Genomic DNA, 26,000 nt, shown 5'->3' with positions numbered 1-26,000 from the left:
CTAGTATATATTAAATATTCTCTAGAAGTGAAAAGCTATGCTAAGCATTTCAAATGCATTACCATATTTATGTTAGTGTTGTCAAATTTGAGCAAAAGGAGTTTACCCATTAATGCTGCATTTAAAGTTTTCATGCTTACAATAAAATAAAACTGTCTTTTTGTTTTAAATAAACCTGCAACAAGGCCACTTAGTGGACTAATGTCATTCACTTTGGCAATCACTAAAAATTATTGTCTGCAAGTGATATAAATATATTAGTACCATAGGTAAGTTCCTAAACTTACCTATGACCTCATGTCTATGTGTTTTGCATTATTAGCACTGCAGATCATGGATCAGATACCCTCATTATTCACTGATACCCATTTAAACCGAATAAATTACCCTTCTTTCATTAGGTAGTTTTGGTGAGAAACTGTAGTAAAAATAAATAGTAAAAAAACAAGCACTAACTTGGATTTATACTATTCCTACCCAAACTGACCATTACTCATCTAAGATCTACAACAGATCCCTTTCTGAGTGTACGAAGAAAAGGATCTTCCAAACACAGTAGAAAGAAAGTTCCTGGGAATCTAAGGATACTAGCCATGCTATAACACACATTTCAAAATTATCAAGTTTATTCGCAATACAGAAAGATAAGTTTGATTCTGTAAAGCAAGTCTGTGAAAAAATATATGTAAAAACAATGAAAAAAAGTAGAGTAAATCTACAGTCACGTGTACAGTCCATGGAATTAACCTTCATCTGAACTAAGAAGAAACTGGACGTTAAAAATTTTTTTTTCAAGAAATGGTGGCACGTGGGCTATACTTAAAACTTGGTTAACATAAGAGAGCCTTTGTCAGATGAGTAGGTTGCGAAAATTTTCTCCCATTCTGTAGGTTGCCTGTTCACTCTGATGGTAGTTTCTTTTGCTGTGCAGAAGCTCTTTAGTTTAATTAGATCCCATTTGTCAATTTTGGCTTTTGTTGACATTGCTTTTGGTGTTTTAGACATGAAGTCCTTGCCCATGCCTATGTCCTGAATGGTATTGACTAGCTTTTCTTCTAGGGTTTTTATGGTTTTAGGTCTAACATGTAAGTCTTTAATCCATCTTGAATTAATTTTTGTATAAGGTGTAAGGAAGCGATCCAGTTTCAGCTTTCTACATATGGCTAGCCAGTTTTCCCAGCACCATTTATTAAATAGGGAATCCTTTCCCCATTTCTTGTTTTTGTCAGGTTTGTCAAAGATCAGATGGTTGTAGATATGTGGCATTATTTCTGAGGGCTCTGTTCTGTTCCAATGATCTATATCTGTTTTGGTACCAGCACCATGCTGTTTTGGTTACTGTAGCCAGAATCTACAATGAACTCAAACAAATTTACAAGAAAAAAACAAACGACCCCATCAAAAAGTGGGCAAAGGACATGAACAGACACTTCTCAAAAGAAGACATTTATGCAGCCAAAAAACACATGAAAAAATGCTCATCATCACTGGCCATCAGAGTAATGCAAATCAAAACCACAATGAGATACCATCTCACACCAGTTAGAATGGCAATCATTAAACAGTCAGGAAACAACAGGTGCTGGAGAGGATGTGGAGAAATAGGAGCACTTTTACACTGTTGGTGGGACTGTAAACTAGTTCAACCATTGTGGAAGTCAGTGTGGCGATTCCTCAGGGATCTAGAACTAGAAATACCATTTGACCCAGCCATCCCATTCCTGGGTATATACCCAAAAGATTATAAATCATGCTGCTATAAAGACACATGCACACGTATGTTTACTGTGGCACTATTCACAATAGCAAAGACTTGGAACCAACCCAAATGTGCAACAACGATAGACTGGATTAAGACAATGTGGCACATATACACCATGGAATACTATGCAGCCATGAAAAATGAAGAGTTCATGTCCTTTGTAGGGACATGGATGAAACTGGAAACCATCATTCTCAGCAAACTATCGCAAGGAAGAAAAACGAAACACCACATGTTCTCACTCATAGGTGGGAATTGAACAATGTGAACACATGGTCACAGGAAGGGGAACATCACACACTGGGGCCTGTTGTGGGGTAGGGAGTGGGGGAAGGGATAGCATTTGGAGATATATCTAATGCTAAATGACGAGTTAATGGGTGCAGCACACCAACACGGCACATGTATAGATATGTAACAAACCTGCACATTGTGCACATGTACCCTAAAACTTAAAGTATAATAATAATAAAATAAAAATAAAATAAAATAAGAGAGCCTTATAAATCAGCTGTGCAGACTGAGTAAAGTCTTACTATATTAGCATCATTTAAAAGGTGCAGGTGAAAACTAAAAAGCATAATTTTATATAGTTCACCATTACAGATTCATTCTTTTGGTTTCCCAAATCTTCTTTTTAATAATTCTGAAAGGGGTGATGATGTCACTCGTAGTTTAGGAGACACTATTATCAATGTATTCCAAAAAATGACCAGAGGCACAGAATTTCTAAGATCAAGAAGAGAGAAGGAGACAGGGATTAAAGAGAAAAGAGGGAAGAAAGATAAGATTGGGGGCCTTCTGCATAACTGTTTTTTGTTTGTTTGTTTGTTTGTTTTTGTTGTTCGTTTGTTTTTTTGAGACAGAGTCTCGCTCTGTCACCCAGGCTGGAGTGCAGTGGCGCAATCCCCTCTCGCTGCAAGCTCCACCTCCCGGGATCACGCCATTCTCCTGCCTCAGCCTCCCGAGTAGCTGGGACTACAAGCGCCCGCCACCATGCCCCGCTAATTTTTTTATTTTTAGTAGAGACGCGGTTTCACAGTGTTAGCCAGAATGGTCTCGATCTCCTGACCTTGTGATCCGCCCGCCTCGGCCTCCCAAAGTGCTGGGATTACCGGCATGAGCCACCGCGCCTGGCCTACATAACTGTTCTTAAAGCCTATCATTTTCCTAAACTTTGGACACACACACACACACACACACTTACACATCTGTATTTCAATGGTGTTCAAATCCATTCACGTAGTTACTTTTTTAATGCTTGTTTGGCCATAGTAAGCCCTTTAAAGCTAGTTCTGGTATCATTTTAAACTAGCTTCACTGATATTTGAGCACTTCTTTGTTTTGTGAAACAACAAGATGTTCCAGGCTCATATTATACTTTCCAGGACTCAGATTTTGAATATGTCATTGCTCAAGATGCCCTGGTTCCTTTCACTGGAGACTGCCATTGAGAAAAAAATATTTGTGTGTTAGGTATGCTCATTACTCATAGAGTGTCATTGCTTCTGATCTCTTTCAATGGAGAATATGAAGAAATAGATACGTGCATATATACATGCATACATAGGTGGATAATGGATGACATGGACAGTTATATAATGATTTCATATTGATACTTCCACATCAATAACAATATCATAGTGTTCTTCACTTTCTTCATTACACATCTGTCTTTCTTCTCTGCAGGTTGAAACTCTGGTAACCATCAGTATCAATATATCTAACAATACTACTAAAATTCTGACACCCATTTTATTATTAAAAACAAAAAAAGCCTTGAAGATTTATTTGTAGTTGTTTTCTCTCTCTTTCTCTCTGTCTCTCATATAAAAAAAGAATACAATGTTCAAAAGTTACTTTAATTGAATCTTATTATCAGATGATTATTTTATCAATATGGCAAAAAATTTGTTTCTATTTGGGTTGAATATAAGTTTTGTTTTCATATATTTTTGATTTGATTCATTTATTAATAAATGATGTTTCAAAAGACCAAAGCATATTTTAAAAATACTCAAAAACGCCTTGCTCATGTTCTCATTTCCTTCTTCTAGCTCCCACCTATCCCTTGCAAGTTAGCATTTCACTTGGTTTCTTATTTTTTACATGAAAGTAAAAACACAAACACTTGTGTTCTTATTTTTTCTTCTTATACTAAACTTAATATTCACTTTTTTTACCTAAGCATAATGACAAAGCACCGGATCACATTTTGAAATTAGAACTACTTAAGAGATTTTAAAAATGGATTCTCACAGAGGGGTGAATTAATAACAGTAGTCTTTCTAGAAGAAACGCTTTTGGAGATGAGAAAATTTAAAGGCCTTTATCATGGAGAATAAACTTAAGTGTAGTAAGAAAGTGAAAAAAGGGTCAATCGATTTGACTTTTACTAGCATATTCAACATGTTTGGTAATCCCTTAATCCCCAACCACTGCCCAAGTCTCCTCTTTCTCTTGCTCCCTCTCCTTCTCAACTCCTCATTCTTTTCATCTTTCAAATTGTTTTTAATGGCTGAAGCCCAGCTAAGTAAGCTCAATCACTTTTGATCATCTGTTTTGGGTAAAACATCTCTCTCTTCTATGCACAAATTATATGCACTCATTGATGTATGACCTGTGCCTTTCAGCATTTACATATTATCTTTACGTTTTCAAGGAACTTTGCAATCACATGTAATGTTTACCTCCCAGTTCTTAGCAATATTAACCTCATTTTACAGTGGTGGTAACAGTCATTGAGCAGCTAAGTGACTTGACCATTCCTAAACTGTAACTCCCAGCATGCACGTCCCCAGCGTGTTGCTGAGCTCAGTGAGTCACTGCCCGAGTCTAGCCTTTATTTATTGTATCATCCCTGAGATGTGGGTAATAGTCACATGAACCTTCAAGGTGTAGTTAAAACACCCCATAAACTGACTTTTACTAGCCACTGTCTAAACCTTGACTTTCTCAAAGTTTTCTCCTTTTGGCTCTTATATGAGAAAACTATCAACAGTAATTCAAGTAAAAGTAAAATATGAAAGTAAAATGTTAAATCTAAGAAAGATATGCCTAATTGTCTTGAGATTTGTGTTAAGAACAAGCATTTAAAATATCTACCACCCTTTAGAAACATTCGAGTGAGCCTTATAAGTAGTTTATTTAGAAAACAGAGACTAGCCTGACCAATATGGAGAAACCCTGTCTCTACTAAAAAAATACAAAGTTAGCCAGGCGTGGAGGTGCGTACCTATAATCCCAGCTACTTGGGAGGCTGAGACTGGAGAATCGCTTGAACCTGGGAGGTGGAGGTTGCAGTGAGCAGAGATCGTGTCATTGCACTCCAGCCTGGGCAACAAGAGTGAAACTCTACCTCAAAAAAAAAAAAAAAAAAAAAAAAAAAAATGCAGCATTTACTCAAAGACCCATTATAGCCAAGGCCTAATCCAAGTAATTCCCTGGGCTGGAGAAACTGGACTTGGTTTTTAAGATGTCACCCATCCCTTTCAAATCAGAGTGAAATCAGAATTAAACTGATAAACTGAAGACAGCAGTGTTTATTTCATTTTGCTCAGGTTTTTAAACCTAATCCTAGATGCACACTTTTGTCTGTTGCACATTTTTATTTTCAGGCATTCTAGAAATTTCAGTCTTTGGTTTTGGAAGGAGAAAAAAGCACAGTGAAAACAAACTCATTTGACTGAATGAGTTTTCTTTTGTGACTAACTTAATGGCTTCCATTCCCAGAAGTTCCTAATGAATTATGAAGGTGTTTCTCTTAAGCATAATAGCATATTTTACTAAGGGAGACCTTATGTTCTATACACATCCCAGACATCAATTAAACCTTTGTGAACCTGGCTAGAAGTGACTACTGGGATCAAGTGAGGCAAGATATGAAGTGGCATTGTGAAGGGAGATTTTACTCTTTTCTCTTTTCTGAAGGCAACATCTATCATATTCTTTATTTTATTGTTTGATGCTTTGCTGACCCAGGGTTTAAGAATGTGTTTCTGCTCACCACCATTATACAGAAACCCAGAAGCTGAGTTCTGCTCTGTGAACAATGAGGCCTTTGTTTGCCAAAGCAGCATAGCCCAACACTTCAGAGCTTTTTAACCTTTTTCATATTGGTGATTACATTTGCAATTCATGCCAGTGGGATTATAGAGATTTTCTCTAAATCCCTGGTAGGCAAGAAAAAAACCTCTTAATTTTTCCTGAACTAGGATGACAAGCCAATTTTTCCTTCATTGTTTGTGGGTTTAAAAAATGAGCCTCATGACTAGGCATTATCCTGAAAAATCTCTGTAAATTAATAAACCTAATCTAGTCATGAGATATCTGCTCCAGTAAGGAAGAGATGCTGCATGCAGGCATATTCTTTCAGAAACTGCAGGCAGAAGGATACTTCTATTGGAGGAGAGAAAGAAGCAAAACTTCAAAATGATTTTTTTTTTTTTTTTTTTTTTTTTGAGACGGAGTCTCGCTCTGTCGCCCAGGTCGGACTGCGGACTGCAGTGGCGCAATCTCGGCTCACTGCAAGCTCCGCTTCCCGGGTTCACGCCATTCTCCTGCCTCAGCCTCCCGAGTAGCTGGGACTACAGGCGCCCGCCACTACGCCCGGCTAATTTTTTGTATTTTTAGTAGAGACGGGGTTTCACCTTGTTAGCCAGGATGGTCTCGATCTCCTGACCTCGTGATCCGCCCGCCTCGGCCTCCCAAAGTGCTGGGATTACAGGCGTGAGCCACCGCGCCCGGCCCAAAATGATTTTTACTAGGAATAATTGGCTCAGATACATAGTTACATATACAACGCAGAAAGAGACAGTGATGAAGGACTTTATAGTGTTCAGGGCAGATCACTTACACTGTTTTGGAAGTTCTCTTTGAGGAAAAATTATTACAAATTTATAAAAAGAAAAAAGCATGAAAGTAAAACATTTATTTTGTTTGAGAAAATGAATTCCAACAAATTAAAAAGCAAAAGCAAATAAAGTGGCAATATCACAAACATTACAACATTCAGAAAAATAATGTATTAATAGTATTAGTTAGCTGCCTGACATCTCTACATATTTTGGCTTCACAGCCTTTGTTTCTTCATATGTAGCAATTTTAAAATATTTTCTGTGGGGACACTAGAAAGTTAATTCAATCTAGCATGGTCGATTGAAAAAAAAAAGTGGTTAATAGTTTAGAAAACTTTCTTTTAGCTCCACAACTCTTTCCTGGTAATGACACATCTATAAATTCCTGTGCAGTGGCTTGTTTAGGCAATGATTCTTGCCCTAAGAAAAACTCTTGAAGGCTTCCATACTTTTGATTAAGTAGACATGGTTCCCAATGGCTCTTACAAAGGCTATGGGCCATTCCCTCCTGCTTTATTCTCCATGCCAATTCCATCCTTACCTTCACTGGGTTGATCCTCACAGGTCACTTCACATGGCACCTTGGCCCAGTCGTCCCTCTTGTTTTTATTCTTCTCCTTGGGATCAAAGTTGCTTGATCCCAACGATGTACCTTGAGGACCTATGGGGCAAATGTTTATTAGGGACAGGTTAGATATGGAAATCACCACTAGGGTACAGCAAGTGACACCTAGTGTGGGGCCGTGCTCTGTAGCTCTGGTTTTTGCTCCCCTCGCTTCCCCGAAGTCCCTGGAGTAGAGCATAAAAGCATCAGAAGAGGCCTGTCCAAGTGAAGGGCCCTGAAGCTTAACCTTCATTAGCTTCACAGCAAAGTATCCTATAGTAAAATTTCTGTTAACAATTTGAGATTTTAAATGTAGTCAAGTATTAAAACCTTTACTTCTTTTAACCCATAGCACATTAAACATTGTACTACTGGACTCATATCCCTTGCTGTTTGGTGGTCATTCCAATATAACACAAAATATGTTTCTTATCTGAGGCATTTTGACATAATGAACACTTTCTGGATAATTACTTTTTGAGAGTTATCCTTATAGCTGGTGTTGTTGTAATTATCAATGAAATCAGCAATGTGAACTGTGAGTCAAAAGTAATTTCCCAAGTAACTGGTAGGTTTTTGATCTGGGACTAAAATTTCTTGTAGTAAAGGGAAGAATAAAACAGTTTATCAATAATAAAGTAGAAAATAAATTACGAGGTAAACCAAAAGTCAAGTTAGCAAGAAATATGATTTTCCTGGGAGAATAGCTTTCATTTCTGCAAATATGTGAGATTAAAGGGAAAGCAACACTCACTGACTACTTGGAAGCAATGAAATTGTATTTTGTAGCTTGTCTTTATGTTCCTATAGGGTCTTTCTCTACCCTCCTCTATTCATCCCACTGTGAGAAAAAAATAAGTCATTCAATATAGAAGATTATTATTAGAGATACGTGGTAGTTGGTCTTCAACAAACTCCACCTCTTGGTATTCACACACTTGTTCAATCCGCTCCCATTTAGTGTGGGCTGGATCTGTGACTTGCCTCTAACTGATATAATATGGCAAAGATTATCTGATATTATTGTCAAGAATGGATTATACAGGATTCTGACCCCCATCTTGCTAGCAAACTCTCTCCTTTCTGTTTTTGATGAAACAAGCTGTCATTGTGTAAGGGGCTCTGTGGAGAGGCACACTGGGTAAATAACTGACAGCAGCTTTCAGGTTAGAGCCAGCAAAAACAGAAAGTCCTCAATCTGACAACCAGCAAAGAATTGAATTCTGCTACTATCCATGTTACCTTGGAAATTGATTCTTCCCCTGTCCACCTTTCAGAAGACACCTCAGCCTTGGCCAACACTTTGAATGCAGTTTTGTGGAAAACACTAAAAACAGAAAACCCAGCTAAGTTGAGCCCAAATTCCTTACCTATCAAAATTCTAAGATAATAAAGGTGTTTGTATGTGGTGTGTTTGTGTGTGGTGTGTGTGTGTGTGTGTGTGTGTGTGTGTAACTGCCAAGTTTATGGTAGTTAATAATATAGCAATAGTGATAAGTAATATAAAACATTAGAAGCCTTTGTAATATAAACACATTAAGTAAAATGAAATGTTAATATGGAGTCTTCTTTACTATTTAACTTTCCACACCATTATTTTGGTAACTTGAGTTAACATTCTTTTCTGAAGTTCTTGCTATCCAATTATTCTGACCTATTTTTGTCAGCCCTTATAAATTTCTATGTCAGCACTGTTCACTGTGTCTAGATCTGGCCATCTAACTCACCATTGTCCTCTTTGTTATCCATATGTGATCATACTGGGCACCACTCATGTTCAACATGGATATTCTAACCTCATTTCATTCATCTACAAAGATCGTTTCTGCACCCCCTAGAGTAGTCCTCTACATGGCTTCCTTTTGTCAACCAGAAACATATTAATTCAGAAGATAATATTAATGTAATTAAGAGTTAAAATTCTGGATTCAAACAGGCCTAGTGTTTAATCTTTGCTCTGACATTTTCTTATTACCTGCTATTTTGCAAATTATTTAAATACTTGAAACCTGTTATCCCCAACCATAACATGAGAACAATAAATATATGATTAGACTCTTAATAAAATTCTATAAGAATTTAATTTATTTATGGTTTAATGCATTTGCAATGTTATTTTCTGAGTTTAGTGTCTAATGGGAATATCCTCTCTTTCAATATCACTTAGCAAACTTGCTCTTCCATTCCTTTGCAACGAGTTCCTTGACTGCTTCCTATTTTTCAAATCCTTCAGCCTGCTCTTTTATTTTCTTTCCAATAGTTGGTCAACTATTACAACTGTGTTGTTACCAATAGTTTTAATTATCTAATGTTCTTAGCTTAATCGTAAGCCTTATATCAGGTCTCTTAAAATTGGCTGAAAAGATAATAAAACCATCCTGATTGGCACTTCTAAATATTTATGACTTTTAATCTCAGCTGAACCTTCAAAACTCTTTAATATACTCTCTCTTTTAAAAATGCATTAGTGCCAAAAGTAGAAATAATCTGAATACAATAAGAAAAAAATTAAAAATGTAACTGTGGTACAATGAATATTTTCTTACACAATAATGGAATTTGTTCTTGAATGCTGACATGTCATGCCCACCTATGACCCACCTTTTACCCTTTTTGCAGCTTAAAGTGTTATAAAAGGCAGTGACCCTGTAGTTTGGGGCTACTATGACCTGGCAGATTCATCATGCTAAAAAGGCAAATTGATGATCAAATTTGGAAATTGACTGTAAGAAACAGTGTGCTGGAGATATAGGAAAGAAGTGGCTCTACCATACAGACCCCTCATCACAGTCCTCACCTCACCCACTGCACTCATTTAACTGCCCAATGAACACTGGAGTTCAACGTTTTTCTGTGTTCTCCCTAGTATATGATTTTGGCTGTTCATTTCTCTTTAGGGAATTTTTAAAAGCTAAATAATAAATACAAAATGCCCCCTTCCAAAATAAAAGAGTTTAATTAAAACTTTTCTCAAATTTTTTTTTGTCGGTATGACCACTCTCTTGCTTTTGCCTCACACAATTTAGGCCCTGCCAGTCTTTAAAAGGAACATTCTAAAAGTACATCTGTTTTCCCTGGGATTTTCTATTATAACATAGCTTAGAATTCATGCAAATTTTTACTTAAAATTTGTGTTACTCAAGGTCACAAATTTCAAATTACAACTCATGGGAAGTGAGGCCTATACCCTTTGTGTGGAAAGTATTCCTCTTTCTGTACCTATCAGACTTCTACTTCATTCTATAAACTGATTTGAAGTGCTATGAACACTTTGGGTTTTCCCCTGTGGTTTCTGGTGCTTTGGGTTTCAGGCATGATACTTTCATAAAAACACAAATGTCAGCTGAACAAATATATATAAGAATGCCTGAATTCCGGGCACGATGCCTCATACCTGTAATTCCGGCACTTTGAGAGGCCGAGGTGGGTGGATGACAAGGTCAGGAATTCGAGACCAGCCTGGCCAACATAGTGAAACCCCTTCTCTATTAAAGATACAAAAAAATAGCCAGGCGTGGTGGCAGGTGCCTGTAGTCCCAGCTACTCGGGAGACTGAGGCAGGAGAATCGCTTGAACCCGGGAGGTGGAGCTTGCAGTGATCCGAGATGGCGCCACTGCACTCCAGCCTGGGCGACAGAGCGAGACTCCGTCTCAAAAAATAAATAAATAAATAAATAAATAAATAAATAAATAAATAAATAAAAAGGAATGCCTGAATTCTATCTCATTCAATTAAAGTGTACTCTTCAAGAAAATTTAATTTTAACCAACAAATTGCTGCCTAAGACCACATAGAAGCATCAGCTAAAATGGTGGTTAACAACACACATCCTGTGCGGGTGCCTGGGTTCGTTCACCAGCGCCATGACTTTGTGACCTAGGGCAGGTTATTTTTCCCTCGTTCTTCTGTTTCCTTAATGCAAAATGGGGATTACAGTAACATCTCCTTTATAAAGTAGGTTTTGAGATGAAATGAGCTAGTATTTTCAAAGTGCTTATATTCTGTGTACCTGGCACATATATAGTAAGTACTATACAAGTATTTGTTAAATAATTTTTTTAAGTTTTAAAATGTTGTATTCATGCCATCAATATTGAGAACACATTCAAGAACCAAAGTAAATTACATGGAAAATATAATTTCTTGTTTTTAAACTCTACAGTATCCAAATTAAAATCTCCATGTTATTCCTCTATGGAGATATGATCTTCCTCAAAAAAGAAACAGTTATATCGAAAATAGATTTTAATATCTCAAGAGACTAAAATCTAAGTTTTAAATAGGTAATGTTTTTAATTCATATTAATAAAAGCAAAATAATTTATACTCTTATTTAATTTTTGGTAATATATTAATTCTACATATAGTTAATTTTGGAATTAAACTCTCAAACTTAGATTTAACATCATGCTTACATCTATTTTCTTCTCATCAAAGAATAAATTATATTTCCCATTGGGATTTATCAACTTCTACTTCAGTTTCTAGGGGAAATAAGTAGAAAACAAATGACTAATAAGTAGACATAAATTATATTAAGTTGGTGCAAAAGTAATGACAAAAGCCGCAATTACTTCTGCACCAACCTAATACTATCAAATTAATTATTTATTTAAATATACTTTATTATGTTTGGGGTCAATATTAGTTTTGTTGTATGTTGCAATACTTGATTTTGATTATTCGATTCATTTCATTTTAGATAGGAATATATATTATTAAATTTCATTTGCATCAGATTTTTATATTTATTTATTTTTGTGAGTTTTATAACTTGCTAGTTACAACCTGAAAAAGAATAGAACATCTTTTAAATATATAATTTGTTCACAGATCAGTATAGATTTTTGAGCCTTGCCTATTGGATGAAGTGCTATCCAAATAGCCTTATCTGTTCTTTGGTGATTATTCTGAGCAAACTTTTTATTTTTCAGGTTATACTATGAAGAGGAGATGGGCTTTTTTTCTTGAAAAGTACTCCCAATCTGATATCTGTCTTGCAGGAAAAAAGCTGTTTTAAACCAAATCCATTGAGATCCAGTGATAAGATCCTCTTACGTGTCACTGGGGCTTGTTCTACAGAATGTAATATTAAAGGTTAGGTTTCATTCTGCTTGAGTGGAATTTCTTAACCAGGAAAACACAGGCAAAGACAGCCTGTGGAGATTTGACATGACAACCATTCTCATTTTATTGAAGTACAGCACGGACTGCAGATGTCCATTTATAGCGTATTTGAAAATCTTTAACATTCTTTGAAGCTTTTAAAAGTATATTTCTCAGGGGATTTTTTGTTGTTACAAGAAGCTTCTAACCATTTTTATGGCTGCAGGCATAATGGCACAATATCCTGTTTCCTGTTGCAGTGGGAAGTCATCAAATGCATCACAACTAAGTCTTAGTGATGATCAAAAGAAAACAGACAAATTCAGTCTTGTGATTTGCTGATGACTAGGTACTTCACTACAGACATAATTATTAGTTGAGAAAAATCTTATGTTTATAGAATGAATCACTTATTCCTCATTTTCATGATTATTACTGTGTTTAAACTTACATAGAGACTTTCCTTTTCAAAGATTCCACTTTCTACACATTGTGTGCAAAACACCTGAGTCGAGGAAAGTTGCAGTAGCAGTTTGCTTAGGTTGATTATTATTCGTCATCTTTAACCTCTTATATTATACAATGAAAGAGTTTTAAAACAACTCAACCTATTCTGTTGTTAAGAGGGTAAATAGATTTTTGAACCTTAATCATTATTCTACATACACTGACTTGGAAAATGGAAATAAAGCAAAAAATCAACTTATAAAAAGGCAATATTCTCTTTCTTCCTTGCAAAATAAAATTCTTAAAGGTTCTATACATTTGTTTTCCCAATAAAATTTCTGTTTAAGTTAGTTAAGAAAATAAGATCCCAAAACCATGATATTATTTTTGATTGCACATAATATAATGCAAGTAATTTGCCAAATGTTTTTCATGCATTGCCCAAAATGTTCACAACTGTCCTATAGTGTAGGCACTGCTATTATTGTCATTCCAAAAGGATTATCTGACGATGTAAAATACCTGAAAATACAATTTTTGTTCCTTACTGTTGCTGTGACCTGCAAAATAACAAAGGAAGTTACTTGAAGTCTCTCATCCTGAGATGTTTCCCAATAGTAAGTATAAGAAAAGACGTCTTGAAGTACAGAGCAATCATTACTGAGAGAATGGTTAAACAAATATTAATGAATTAGGCTTATCTTTGTTGCCCACTGTAAATGTAGGTACTGGAAATATAGCTGAGAGCAGATTAGAGGACTGCTTCTCATAATTTAGTGTGCACAAAAATTGGACGGCAAACTTATTAAAACACAGGTTCCTGGGTCCCACACAGAAATTCTGTTTCAGGAGATCTGGAGTGGAGCCGGGTGATCCTGACATTATTGGGCCCTGGACCACACTCTTAAGCGGTGCTGGCCAAACATCGCTGTTCTCCTGATGTCATTCTGGTGGACTCTTAAGAATTACTGTTACTACTTCATGATATGGCATATATTACCTTTACTTAATTCTCATAATGACCATATCATCATAAGACAGGGATTCACTTTTTGTCATTATTATAAATGAAGAAACTCTTTATTAAGGAAATATAGTAGCGTTCACTAATGCAAACAGCAGGAGGCTGAAGGGCCAGAGTTCAAATTTAATTTTTCTCTCAAACCAAAATTATGGCCATTGCATTATTTTCTGCCACATTTTATATTTCCTCAGACATTTTCATTTTGAGACCCAAAAGAAAACATTCTGCAGTTTTGAAATGCCCAACAAATGTTACTAGAGTCAAAGGGTTCAGGGGTTAAAAAATTTGTCACCATCTTATGACATGGTAAATCATCAAATGATTATAGGTAGTACACATATTTAAGGTTTAGGGATTTTTATTCTGTATTTGTGATTGTAATTCAATCTCATCTTTAACTTGAGATGTAAATGTGATTTGTAACTTTAAGTATCAATAGAAAGTTGCAGATTTTCAGGAATAAAAAAATAATCGCTATCATTCTCAATTGGAAAATAATTTGAAGTGTTTTCTTTGTAGTATGAGGGTCTCTGGGGCATGAACAGCTGCTTTTAATATTTTCTAACCCAATACCTATTATATTATGTGTGGAAAGTTCTATAAATGTTGACTGAGCAAGCAAATCAAATTAGAGCATATGAGCATCCCATGAACTGTAGCCTTCTCACAAATGTCCTTTGGTAGAAAGTATTTATCTAAAATTAACTCACCTTAATTTTACAATGATATTTATTTCAAACATATGTTGCTAGCATACTGCTTTCTTAATACAAGTTCTTTTTGCTTCTTTAAAAATCTGCTAGCTAACTCACAGGTAACGTAAGTATCATGAGGTGCAGCAGTTGCTAAAGCAAGTTCCTTTTTCATGAATAACAGAGTAAACAGGCTCATAAAACCCATATAAACTGCCACTTCTCAAATTTATGATTTCCCTGAGGCTGAGGCAACTAAAACTTGAGTTTTAAGGAAAAAATTGTCAGGCTTCTTTTTACTTGGTGTAAACTGACCTAACAGAAACTTTTTATTTTTTTTGGAGTGTTTTTTTGGGGATTTGTATGTGTTCCTGATGACTTTATATTGTTTTACAATGCTTTATCACATGAGGAAACTGAGGGTTTGCCCTTGGAAAAACCATTTTTCCAGCATCCTAAGCATCCATTGGTTCCTAAGTGTTTCTAAGTTAGAAATTAACGTTTCTTGTATTCCAATTCTATAACAACAGGATGATGATACCCTTTAAGCATGGATTGATCATTTCCTTAATTATTTTATGCTTCCTTAAAGTCTGAGGAAAATTTTATTGGTGGATTAGTTAAAAAATAAAAAAATATATAATGGTCCAATAAACTGAGCCAACCACTTAAAACATTTGAAATTTAAAATACATCTTTCCTAGTTTTAAACATTTAGTATTCATTGCCATCTTAATTTTTTCTTCTTCTCTAAGAAGAAATATAGAGGAGTCATCCTTAGATTTTAAAAGGTTTTGCCTGCTGTTGAACTACTTGGACTTCCAAATCATGGGCCCATTGCAAGAAAAAAAAAGTGATTACAGAAAATAATATGCTTGAAAGTCAAAGACAGGTAAGATTTTTCAAACCTATTTTTTCGTAATTAATTTTCTCTCTCTAGTAAGACAGCACCTATCCTAGTATTTTTTTCATTGCAGAATTCTAGTCACAATTGTAGCCCTTTATAGTTGTTATCTTTACAACTCAAACATAACCCTTCCAGAATATTAATCTACCCCTTTACCTGGTCTGAGAGATTATTTACTTAAAAGGATCATGTATGTATTATTTGAAAATATATTTATAACTTTTCATTATAGCTTGTTTAAAAATGCCAATGACATGGCATATTTTTCATAAATAACATTTAATCATGTTAGACATTTGTATTATGTTGACTGTCTTATAATTAATAATCATTAGATGCTTCGAGAAAATTCAGCACAATGAAAATAATATTAGGGATTATTTTTAAAAACTTGTGTTCCACTGTAGTATGTCATTACCAATTCATTTTCAAGTTAGTCCATTTGTCTTCCCTATTTTAAAGTGGTAATTTTAAGTCCCAGTAAGGGTTTGAAATAACTTATGTCTTTGTGACCCCTTATAAATATGCAAACAGATGATGATTTGCTGACCTGTCCTTCAGTGATTGCTGAGCTTCATTGTCCCAGACCAAGGCACTTAGTCCTGTTCAAGTACCTACTTTATCATCCATTAGATGCTTCGCCATCCTGGAGAGCTCATCTCCTAGGACCTATTGAATTCAGAGACAAAAATAGGTACTTTGGGTTTCATTTATATGCATGCCTTCAAAAACATTTTATTACCCCTTCAGTTCTGCCCTCCTAAATATTAGTTTATTCTTTGATTAGTTTCTTAGAGATTTTAGTGTATCTTTAATGAGGAAATCAATGAACAAACTAATGTTCATACCTGGAGTTTCAATGTTGTTTCTCTCTTTAAGCCAATTTCTCCCCAAATTTTCCTTCTGAATTAACTGGTTTATTATTTATATGTATAAGGATGGATGTACTTTGTGAAAGGATTGCTACCAGGTAGCTTGCACATTTCCTAAGCCACTGAAACTGTTCCTTTATTTGGTACCATGGTTTTGCTCCCTGGAAATAATGTCCTATTAAAAAGGCACTTGTCTGTACTTTCAGAATTCTATATTCAGGGTCAATCAATTATCCACTGGCTATGTTGATATGTTAACATTGCCATATCAAAAAGGGAGCAATTTTAATATTTCAGGCTGTTAATAGACATTTTAATTTTCAGCTATTATGAGGTAATATTTGCTTGACATTAACACCTCTCCCTACTTATAAGTTATTTGATGAGCAGCTATAGGCATTACCACTTGTGAATTCAAGAGCTTTCCAGAATAGAGGTTTACTTCTCTTGGAAGATAAGTAGCAATTTTTTAGAGATTTGTGTTAGCCATACATGTATGTGGTCGAGGTATGTTTGTATATGGAGATAGTTCACAAAAGAAAAGTTAAGGAATCATAATATATATTTTTGATTATTTTCTGAAAACACCTTCCATTCCTCTACTTAACAATAAACAGCATCCCGGTTTTCTTCTGATGAATTAACACTTCTCCATTTGGTATAGGTAAGGTGTGGAATCTGCCATCCCACTAAGAAATCTGGAGATTCCTTCTACTACATATTTATTTTCCACAGCTCAGTAACCAAGACTAAGTGACCTATCCATCAATGAGATTGTGATACAGAACTTTAAATCTTGAACTGGGTACTGCAAAGACAGAAGAAATAAATGGAATTAATTCATTCTAACTGGGTTACCCTAAATTGTCACTCAATTCATGTTACTAAGATCTTTGTGCTGATTTTCTATACTCTCTAAACCTATTTTGTATAGGCTTCTTTTTAAGCTTGGGAATACCCTATCCTGAATCTTTACATAAATTCACCCTTTCTTAGGTTTGACAGAGATGATATTTGACAGAGTTGATAGTTACAACCAGAGAACTCTAACATACACTTTGTAGCATTCTCAAGCATAATCTTATCTATTAGGAGTCATAGACAAGTAAAGCAAAGGGAAGTGAGCACTCACATTAACTCCTGTTAGAAACTACTTTCTAAAGAAAGATCTTGCTTACATTTTAATATAGGAAATTAAAAACTTGTTAATGATCAAAAGTTACATGGGCATAAAAGCCACTTTCTATGCAGCACAGTGCTTTGCATATCATAGGGGTCTAACAGAGGTTTTTTGAGTTTATAAAAGCTACTAATGTTTTTAAAAATTGAGAATTTATGGCTTTAATTGATTGAACTGGGGTTACTGACACAAAGAGTAACACCTCTGTTTCCAAACTACCTCAAATAAATTAACTATATGTCAAATGCTATTCTTGGAAAATACGAGTAGAATAGTAAATATTTGTGGGATTTGGAGTAAGCATTTGAATTTTCTGAATTTGATCACACCAACTAATGATGATAATAAGAAGGATTTACAGCCAGGCACGGTGGTTCACACTTATAATCCCAGCACTTTGGGAGGCTGAGGCGAGTGGATCACCCGAGGTCATGAGTTCAAGACCACCCTGGCCAAAATGGTGAAACCCCATCTCTACTAAAAATACAAAATTAGCCAGGTGTGGTGGTGGTCGCCTGTAATCCCAGCTACTTGGGAGGCTGAGGCAGGAGAATCGCTTGAACCTGGGAGGTGGAGGTTGCCGTGAGCTGAGATCGTGCCATTGCATTCCAGCTTGGGCAACAAGAGCGAAACTCTGTCTCAAAACAAAAAAAAAAGAAAAAGAAAAAAGGATTTACTCAATGTCTGCAAATAATGTTAAGTATAGTTATAGTGGAATATCTAGGGACAAGTTCTACAGAGAACAGTGTTTTGCCAGTGTGAAACAATTAGGATATTATTATTTTAAATATTTAATTAACTTTAGACTTCTCTCTCAATAAAAGTAAACAAACACCTCATAATGTAAACATTATCATAATTTAATTTTAATTAAAATAGATTAAAATCAGAAGTAATAAAAGAGAATTATCAAAAGTTACAAACTATTTTAAGAAATATTTGAAGAGTTTTTAAAGGATAGTAAATAAGAATACATTGTCAGCCCTCTGTCTGTGGGTTCTGCATCTGTGAATTCAACCAACAGCAAATCAAAAATATCCAGGAAAAAAACTGTGCCTGTACTGAACATGTACAGACTTTCTATGTGTCATTATTCCCTATGCAATATAGTATAACAACTATTTACGTAGCATTTCAATTGTAATAGGTATTATAAGAAATCTACTAATGGTTTAAAGTATATGGGAGGATATGCACAAGTTATATGCAAATGCTACACCATTTTATATCAAGGGACTGGAGCAAGATAGATTTTGGTATCTGCAGGATATGTTGGAACCCATTCCCCACACATACCAAGGGACGACTGTACTAATAAGAGAACAAGATCTATTAAAGACAGAATGACTTGCAGTATTGCAAATTTGTTGACACTTGGTCATATGTAAAAAAGGGTCTGCTTTTTGTCACATAACATTTTAGCTTTTAAGAATATTAGTTTAGGCAACTTGAAAGAAATAAACTGCATCTGCTTAATGGATTTGTTTTCTATTTATTTCATATTTGGGGTTCTACGGCACTAAAATGTAACTAAATTCATTTTCTAATTTCACCAAAGGATTTCAATACAGACTGGATGATATATTTATATATTTACCCTAGCAATCTCTGAAATGCATGCTTGCACTGCCTCGCATGGGGGTAGTAATTAGTTGCGTGGTAGGCAATGGCCAGGGCCACAGCTCACTGGGCAGCATAATGGTAATATCTTGTAGCTTTTCACTTTACATAAATGCTACATCCTTCCTCAGTAGATAGGCAAAGAGCAGCTCACTACTGAAAAGCAGGTCTCTAATTTTGTATACGTCAGTGAGAAAGAGAGAAAAATAAAGCTGTTACAAAAGACATTTAGCCACAGGCCTAATACATAAATAAATACGTGATTTAACATATATTGTTATATGGCTAATTTTGGCTTTCAAATTGATTCCAACTTGTGTAGGACAGCATCCTATACAGAGTGGATGCTCAATAAATAATGCAAATGACAATACACTACATCCAAATAGCACCAAATAGCTACTTATTCAATTTATTCAATAATTCTAGTGGACTCCTATGGGCAGACAGTATTATATGATGGCCTTAGTAACACTTGCCCTCTCTTATCTATTTTCAAGGAATGTTACTACAGTCAACTAATAGGGCAAGAAGAAATGTAGATGGTCAGTGGAAATTTTTGCCTTGTAAACTCTAGATCCTATGAGAATCATTTTGGTAAGCAGCAAGCACATGAATAGTTTTAGAGATAGTAAACAATAGAAGCAATTTGCTTTGATTATTCATAAAATGTCTCATTCATTCTCAAAGTATCATAAACCAAGCAATGGAAAGAGGAGGTAAACCCATTTTAGTTCAGCAGAATCATCCTAGCTCTATCCCAGATTACCCTAAACAAAGGGCTGAGAAGTGTTTACTGTAACCAATGTGCAAGCTACAAAGCGGTAAGGTTCTTTGACAGCTACCCAAGAAGAATGGAGTGGAAAGAAATGAGAAGGAGATGGGATTGTCAAAAGGCAACATGGAATATGGGTACATGTTTTCCATTTTACCTTAAGTAAAGGAAAAAATGAAAACAACAACACAGGACCTGTGGAAAATAACTTTTTTTAAAAAGAAAGATACCAAAAAGAAAGTACTTAGTAGAAGCAGCATAGGTAGATTTTATAGATTTTAAAATCTATAATATTACTTGATGCCTTTAATGGGCCTTAAGAAGAATCCCTTAGGAAATAAATGAAATAAGTAAGAAAATAACAGTCCAAAATGAAAGGACAAAAAATGACACACAAAGAAATGATCTCAAGAAGAGAGGACTGTGCAAACTAATCATATAAGATTGTAAAGTAAACAAAATGCAATCATATTTTTAAAACTTATATTAAAGACAGAAAAGTATAGGTTTGGAAACATGGAAAATTTAATCATTTACAGAAGAGATTAACTTGAATATGTGTCTTGGAAGCTAGGAAAAATTCAAATGAAAAGAATAAGGAACTGCATAATATACAAAGAAGACAGAAAATACAGATGATTAAATTAATTTTGATGTACCATTTGGTTGAATATTATGCAAATATTAAAATAATTTAAAAACAAGCATATTTATGTTAACATGTTAAACAGGCAGGGGATTATAAACTGTACATCTGTACATATATACAGTACATATGATGTATATAATACATATGATATATGATATATAATATACATAAAAATGAGAGCAAGTTAGTGGTTTATATATATTTGGGCATAAATATATAAAAACATATTTACACATAAATGGTTCAAGTGAAAAATAATAAATTACCTTGTATATACATGTTTATAATAATTATCTGTGATAGAGATTGATCTTCGTTCTCTAATTTATAATTTCCTATGCTCTCTGAAGGTTTCATAAAGCATGTAATATTTTTACAACTAGAAAGATTGCTTTTTTTAAATTTTTTATTCCCATAGGTTTTGGGGTAACAGGTGGTGTTTGGTTACATAAATAAGTTCTTTAGTGGTAATTTCTGATATCTTGGTGCATCCATCACCCGAGCAGTATACAATGTACCCAATGTGCAGTCTTTTATCCCTCACCCTCCTCCCACCCTGTCCCCCTGAGTCCCCAAAGTTCATTGTATTATTCTTATGCCTTTGTGTCCTCATAGCTTAGCTCCCGCTTATGAGTGAGAACATACAAAGTTTTGGTTTTCCATTTCTGAGTTACTTCACTTAAAATAAGCAGCTCCAATTCCATCCAGGTTGCTGCAAATGTCATTATTTCATTCCTTTTTAAGGCTGAGTAGTATTCCATTTTTTATATATAAATATATATATATACCATTCATTATATATATGCATTCCATTATATATATAATATATAATAGTAGTATTTGCATTCCATTATATATAATAATATGTAATAGTATTATTCCATTTCATATATATTATATATATAAAATACATATATAACAATTTTTTTTATTATTATACTTTAAGTTCTAGGATACATGTGCACAACGTGCAGGTTTGTTATATAGGTATACATGAGCCATGTTGGTTTGCTGCACCCATCAAGTGGACATTTACATTAGGTATATCTCCTAATGCTATCCCTCCCCAGCCCCCCACCCCACAACAGGCCCTGGTGTGTGATGTTACCCGCCCTGTGTTCATGTGTTCTCATTGTTCAACTCCCACCTATGAGTGAGAACATGTGGTGTTTGGTTTTCTGTCCTTGTGATAGTTTGCTGAGAATGATGGTTTCTAGCTTCATCCATGTCCCTGCAAAGGACAAGAACTCATCCTTTTTTATGGCTGCAGAGTATTCCATGGTGTATATGTGCCACATTTTCTTAATCCAGTCTATCATTGATGGACATTTGGGTTGGTTCCAAGTCTTTGCTATTGTGAATAGTGCCACAATAAACATACTTGTGCATGTGTCTTTATAGTAGCATGATTTATAATCCTTTAGGTATATACCCAGTAATGGGATTGCTGGGTCAAATGGTATTTCTATTTCTAGATCCTTGAGGAATCGCCACACTGTCTTCTACAATGGTTGAACTAATTTACACTCCCACAACCGTGTAAAAGTTTTCCTGTTTCTCCACATCCTCTCCAGCATCTGTTGTTTCCTGACTTTTTAATGATCGCCATTCTAACTGGCATGAGATGATATCTCATTGTGGTTTTGATTTGCATTTCTCTGACGACCAGTGATGATGAGCATTTTTTCATGTGTCTGTTGGCTGCATAAATGTCATGTTTTGAGAACTGTCTGTTCATATGCTTTGCCCACTTTTTGATGGGGTTGTTTTTGTCCTGAAAATGTAAGTTCTTTGTAGATTCTGGATTTTGGCTTTTCTTGCCATTGCTTTTGGTGTTTTAGTCATGAAGTCTTTGCCCATGCCTATATCCTGAATGGTATTGTCTAGCTTTTCTTCTAGGGCTTTTCTGGTTTTAGGTGTTACATTTAAGTCTTTAATCCATCTTGAATTAGTTTTTCTATAAGGTGTAAGGAAGGGATGCAGTTTCAGCTTTCTACATAGGGCTAGCCAGTTTTCCCAGCACCGTATATTAACTAGAGAATGCTTTCCCCATTTCTTGTTTTTGTCATGTTCGTCAAGGACCAGATGGTTGTAGATGTGTGGTGTTATTTCTGAGGCCTCTGTTTTGTTCCATTGGTCTATATATCTATATATCTGTTTTGGTACCAGTACCATGCTGTTTTGGTTACTGTAGGCTTGTAGTATAGTTTGAAGTCAGGTGGCGTGATGCCTCCAGCTTTTTTCTTTTTGTTTAGGATTGTCTTGGTTATGCAGGCTGTTTTTTGGTTCCATATAAACTTTAAAGTAGTTTTTTCCAATTCTGTGAAGTAAGTCTTTGGTAGCTTGATGGGGATGGCATTGAATCTATAAATTACCTTGGGCAGTATGGCCATTTTCACGATATTGATTCTTCCTATCCATGAGCATGGAATGTTCTTCCATTTGTTTGTGTCCTTCTTTATATGTTAATTATTTTCGTTATTCCATCTCAAAAAAAATATTTAGAGATATGGGGTCAAGCACCCGGAAAGCCCCCAAACAGAAACTATTAAAAGTGAATGTATCTAGGGAGTGGGAACTGGAGTAGGAAATGTGGGCACATGACTTACGTTTAGCATAAGCCTTCTTAGAGGTTGTCCTTTTGTCATTTTGATAAAACATATTTGAAAAGAAAGTGTATGCAGCAAGAGAATGTGAGCATTTGGACAAGAGTTTTAGTAGCATTATTCTTGAGTAACAGAGTAAAAATAAATTAATAAATTCCTTTTAATTCTGTAGCTAAGAAATCCACTGACTTCCCCAATTCATTCATGCGTTTTCTTTGGTTACCATCAAATTAAAATAGAATCTTATGTTAATCATGTTATATACTGTTGTGCTTTCCAATAAATACTGGGTGCCATAGAATATTTCCAAGCTAGAAATTCCCTTGCCTGGGATTTTGAGCCCAGGTCTTCTCACCTGGCCTCTTTCCTTCCTCATCTCCATATTAAGCACACATCATCATCCTTATTTGATGCAACTCATATTCTGATAATCCAATATTAATTGGCACTAGGTGTTTATCATACTCTCTTTTGTGTGGATTCTTTGCTAGGTGGCATTCCACCACTACTGCAATTCCAAGCACTTTGAGATGAGATCTTAAAGGACCCAACATCAATAGTCTTTTAATATAGTGGTTTTGCCAAAAGCTTTTGCAACCTGTTTAAAGTGAAAAATTTTCTACAATTTCACTAATTACCTGAGTTTAATTTAGCAACTTATTCAAAGAATGATGCCCAGATCGTACTCCAGAAGGGGAGTATAAATTATTGACAGATCACAGAATATCATTATGTACATATATGTAGTTTGTAGCTTCCTAGTTACTAATTATACTTTATTTAAAAACAGGGTTTGCCATTTATTGCTGATTACAATATACAAAAATAGCAATTATGCACATTAATGTCAGATTAATTTTTTGTTAATTATATTTAATTATAATACTATGCCCTGGTTTTCTGCACTCGGTCTTGTTTTATTTATTTATTTTTTTACTTGACTTGATTGTTTATTTGTGTAACATGTTCTGTTCCTGAATTTCAAAATTGTGGTCAGTGGTCATTTGATTTTAACTTTTTAAAAAAATTTTAACCAAAAAAAAGATAGAAGAAAGGGAATAACAAGTTTAGTGACTATTGTTGTCGTGTTTGAAAGTTTTCCTGACTATGCAAACCTTATCAGTCAAAGCTCAAGTATTCCCAAGTAGATTCTTCATTTCACATGGTTCACCTACATATGGTACCATTGCAGGACATTAGATTTTAGATGTGGGCAATGGGCCAGATCATGAAGACCCTTCTGTGACATAATAGCCATTTGGAAAGTGTAAATAACTACACGATCTGTAAGACTGAAGGCCCAGGATTTATGAGTGTATGAGTTTCCTGGTGCTATCATAACAAAGTACTATACACTGGGTGGCTTAAATAAAACAACAGAAATGTATTCTCTTACATTTCTAGGGACTTGAAGTCCAGAATTAAGGTGTCAGCAGGGCCATGCTGTCTATGAAGGCTTTGGAGGAGGATCCTTCCTCATTTCTCTCTAACTTTGGATGGTGGCTGTTATCCCTGTTGTTCCTTGGCTTGCAGTTATGCTACTACCATCCCTGCTTCTGTCCTGAGACAGCATTCTCCCTGCGCATCTGTATATTCCTTCTCCTCTGATAAGAACTCCAGTCACATTGGATTAGGGTGTACCTTAATCCAGCATGATACCTTCATTTGATTACATCTGCAAACTCTATTCCCAAATAACACTGCATTCATAGGTATGGGGTTTAAGACTTCAACTCATTTTTTTCGGGGACATAGTTCAATCCTTAACAGTTAGAAAATCATTCCCATAATCAAAGTAAGAAAAGATGAGCCAGCCATGGAAGTGACTGATATAGGTATTGATAGGAATGAATTTGAGAAATATTTATGTGCCAGAATTATCAGGAATTTGTAACATATTAAATGAGATCCATTTTTTCATCAGATTTTTACCAAGCTAGCAGGATGAATGCAATGAGGTTATTAACTAAGAATGGCAGTACAGGAAGAGAAGATGACTTGAGATTGAAAAAAAAAATAAAAATGAAGTTTTACTCATAACAAATTAAATTGGCAATATTCTCTCTACTCATGGAGCCAATTTATTAAAATATGTTGAGAAGAAAAATTTTTTAACACATAAAATTCTGTATCAGTCACAGATATTTTGGGGCCATCTCAGATTTCCTTGGCCTTCTCTACTTCCTCAGTGGGCTGAGATTCCACAACTGGGGCCAGTCAACCCTGAGAGTGTCAGACCTTCCTTTTTGGTCACTGTCATTAAACTGGGGTGACTAGCTGTATGTGCAGAGTTTATGGCTTCATTTACTACAATGGAATAAACTGTCACATCACAGAAAAGGTTATATCTGCTGTTGCTGAGAGGCAGAAAGGAACCTGATGACATCATCCAAAAGTACAGAATTCATTACCTATTGGGTGAACTTCCACCACTGTGAGAAAAGAAAAAGGGAATCAGGGAGATAAATTATTTTCCTCATCTTTCCTTGTTGATTACTGTCTCAAGTCATGATTTCCTCCTACAGCCTCTTAATAGAACTTCCCAGGTGTTGAGTAGGAATTCAACTTGATGAGGGACCCACTGTGTTTCTCCGTGGAATGAAAAGGGGCAAAAGTATGAGAAGGAAGATCAGTAAAAAAACAGTTGAGCCGGGTGCAGTGGCTCATGCCTGTAATCCCAGCACTTTGGAAGGCCGAAGTGAGCGGATCTCTTGAGGTCAGGAGTTCGAGACCACTCTGGTCAACATGGTGAAACCCCATCTCTACCAAAATACAAAAATTAGCTGGGCGTGGTGGCGTGAGCCTGTAATCCCAGCTACCAGAGAGGCTGAGGCAGGAGAATTGCTTCAGCCTGGGAGGCAGAGATTGCAGTGGGCCAAGATAGCACAACTACTCTGTA

At 35.3% G+C, this 26,000-nt stretch overlaps 1 long non-coding RNA gene across 1 annotated transcript in view; it reads right to left on the bottom strand.

Annotated features, from left to right (window-relative positions):
* The window catches only part of LOC105375148 (uncharacterized), a 147,709-nt gene that overhangs the window by 45,445 nt on the left and 76,264 nt on the right, over positions 1-26,000 (bottom strand). Inside the window, exon 2 of the long non-coding RNA NR_187872.1 lies at positions 7,160-7,279. This is a non-coding gene — a long non-coding RNA (uncharacterized LOC105375148). The remainder of the gene's footprint in view (positions 1-7,159; positions 7,280-26,000) is intronic.

This window comes from Homo sapiens, chromosome 7 (genome assembly GCF_000001405.40).
Source record: "Homo sapiens chromosome 7, GRCh38.p14 Primary Assembly".
In the NCBI taxonomy this organism is placed as follows: Eukaryota; Metazoa; Chordata; class Mammalia; order Primates; family Hominidae; genus Homo; species Homo sapiens.
The sequence above is the reverse complement of the archived record's forward strand: the minus strand, read 5'-3'. Positions and strand labels throughout refer to the sequence as shown.